Below are 2,088 nucleotides of genomic sequence, written 5' to 3' on the forward strand. Positions count from 1 at the left end.
TTGGGGTCTGGCGGCGGGGGCTTCTGCCTAGCGGAGGGGGGGGCGAGGGGCGGGCGCGGAGTGGGGTCCCTCAGCCTCCTTCCTCTCCGCTACTGGATCCTGTCGCTGGAGGCCCCGCCGCCGGGCCCGCCCTGATGGCGCGGGTGGACCAGGGGACAGGTGGCCAGGTTGCCAGCACAGGGTAGGAGTGCGTGGGCTCGGCGAGGGCTCAAGGGCTCCTCTGCAGTCAGCGTGGGGCTGCGCCACGGCCCCGGCACCCACAAGCCACGGGGATGGTTTCCAGGGGCGGGGATCGAACCAGCGTCCAAAGCCTGCTGAGCCCAGAAGGGCGGAAGCCAGGCTCGGGGAGGGAACGGCTGGAAAGGCAGGGCGGAAAGGCTCCCTGGAAAGGCTCCCTGCACTCAGCACGGAAGCAGCTTCTGGAAAGGTCTCAGCCGCTCTGGGTCTGGCTTCAGGAGCGGGGTCCTTCCCAGCCGTCGTCACTCTGCAAAGACCCGAGCGACCCCGGGACACCAGCCCCGGCCTGTCCAGGGTGCGCGGACCCCTCCCTACGCGGCGGCGACCCCGGGGACGCCTCTCCCTCCTCCAGCCCCTCCGAGGCCGCCCCGGGGACGCCTCTCCCCCCTCCAGCCCCTCCGAGGCCGCCCCGGGGACGCCTCTCCCCCCTCCAGCCCCGCCCAGGCCGCCCCGGGGACGCCTCTCCCCCCTCCAGCCCCTCCGAGGCCGCCCCGGGGACGCCTCTCCCCCCTCCAGCCCCGCCCAGGCCGCCCCGGGGACGCCTCTCCCCCCTCCAGCCCCGCCCAGGCCGCCCCGGGGACGCCTCTCCCCCCTCCAGCCCCTCCGAGGCCGCCCCGGGGACGCCTCTCCCCCCTCCAGCCCCTCCGAGGCCGCCCCGGGGACGCCTCTCCCCCCTCCAGCCCCGCCCAGGTCGCCCCGGGGACGCCTCTCCCCCCTCCAGCCCCTCCGAGGCCGCCCCGGGGACGCCTCTCCCCCCTCCAGCCCCTCCGAGGCCGCCCCGGGGACGCCTCTCCCCCCTCCAGCCCCTCCGAGGCCGCCCCGGGGACGCCTCTCCCCCCTCCAGCCCCTCCGAGGCCGCCCCGGGGACGCCTCTCCCCCCTCCAGCCCCTCCGAGGCCGCCCCGGGGACGCCTCTCCCTCCAGCCTCGCCCATGCCCGGCCCCTCCCGGTGCAGCGAGGCCCGCGCTGATCCTGGTGATTCCTGCGGCCGCCGGGGCCCCGCATGCAAATGAGCCGACGGCTCCGGCCTCTCTTTCCTCGCGCCGGCAAATAGACTCTGATAAGGGGATCTTTGTAATTACACGGAGCTACACTGGTCAATTCTGACTTTTAAATACCGCAGGGCCGAGAAAGGGAAGAAAGCGCGAACACATGTTCCCGGCGGCCGCCGCGGTGCCTTTGAATCCCGCCCCCGCCGGGGCCCCGTGGCCCGGCCGCTCTTTGTGAAGCGCTGTCGCTCCATCTCGGCGCGAGATCATTTCCAAATTAAATTTTATGGTCCATTACTTATCGCTCCGACACTGGTCTAATGGAATCTTAAATGGAACTGACTTGATCTGCGTGGGGCTGGCCTCTCAGTTAAGATGTTATTTAGTTCTAATTATCAGATAATGAACTCGGGAAATTTAATTTTTAATATTTGTATGTCAAAAGTCCATTGTGTTTTGGTGAGAGACTTTAAATTAAAAGTTAACGCGGGTCAAGCAACAGCCCCAGCTCATCCCTCCAAGGGCGGAGGCCACGCCAAGCCCCTGCTGGGCGCCTGTTGGCCCCCAGGACCGGCCCCCAGGTGAGTGCCCACCAGCAACTCAGAAGCCCCCCTGGTGGTCTTCTGCAGCCCCCCTGGCCCGCGAGGAAGAGCGCCCTCCTGGGCTCACAGCTGCCACTCGGGTCCCCACCTGGAAAGAGGTTGGACCCAGCGCCTACAGCAACGCCTCCCCCAGCTGTCCCCAAGACCCCCAGGGGCAGCAGACGGACACAGGAAGAAGGAAGCACCTCAGCCCCACAGCGCTTTGGGCGGACACCTTGGCTTCACAGACGAGGCACAGACAGTCCCCTTTGTCCCTGAGGT

At 68.9% G+C, this 2,088-nt stretch overlaps 1 annotated feature.

Moving 5' to 3' along the window:
• Positions 266 to 819: an enhancer, noted in NCBI's record as "H3K27ac-H3K4me1 hESC enhancer chr4:1522059-1522612 (GRCh37/hg19 assembly coordinates)". NCBI's record gives its function as "activates a minimal SCP1, AML or CMV promoter by ChIP-STARR-seq in primed H9 embryonic stem cells {active_cell/tissue: H9 hESC(primed)}" and the evidence as "EXISTENCE:reporter gene assay evidence [ECO:0000049][PMID:30033119]".

Source organism: Homo sapiens, chromosome 4, assembly GCF_000001405.40.
Source record: "Homo sapiens chromosome 4, GRCh38.p14 Primary Assembly".
Taxonomy (NCBI): domain Eukaryota; kingdom Metazoa; phylum Chordata; class Mammalia; order Primates; family Hominidae; genus Homo; species Homo sapiens.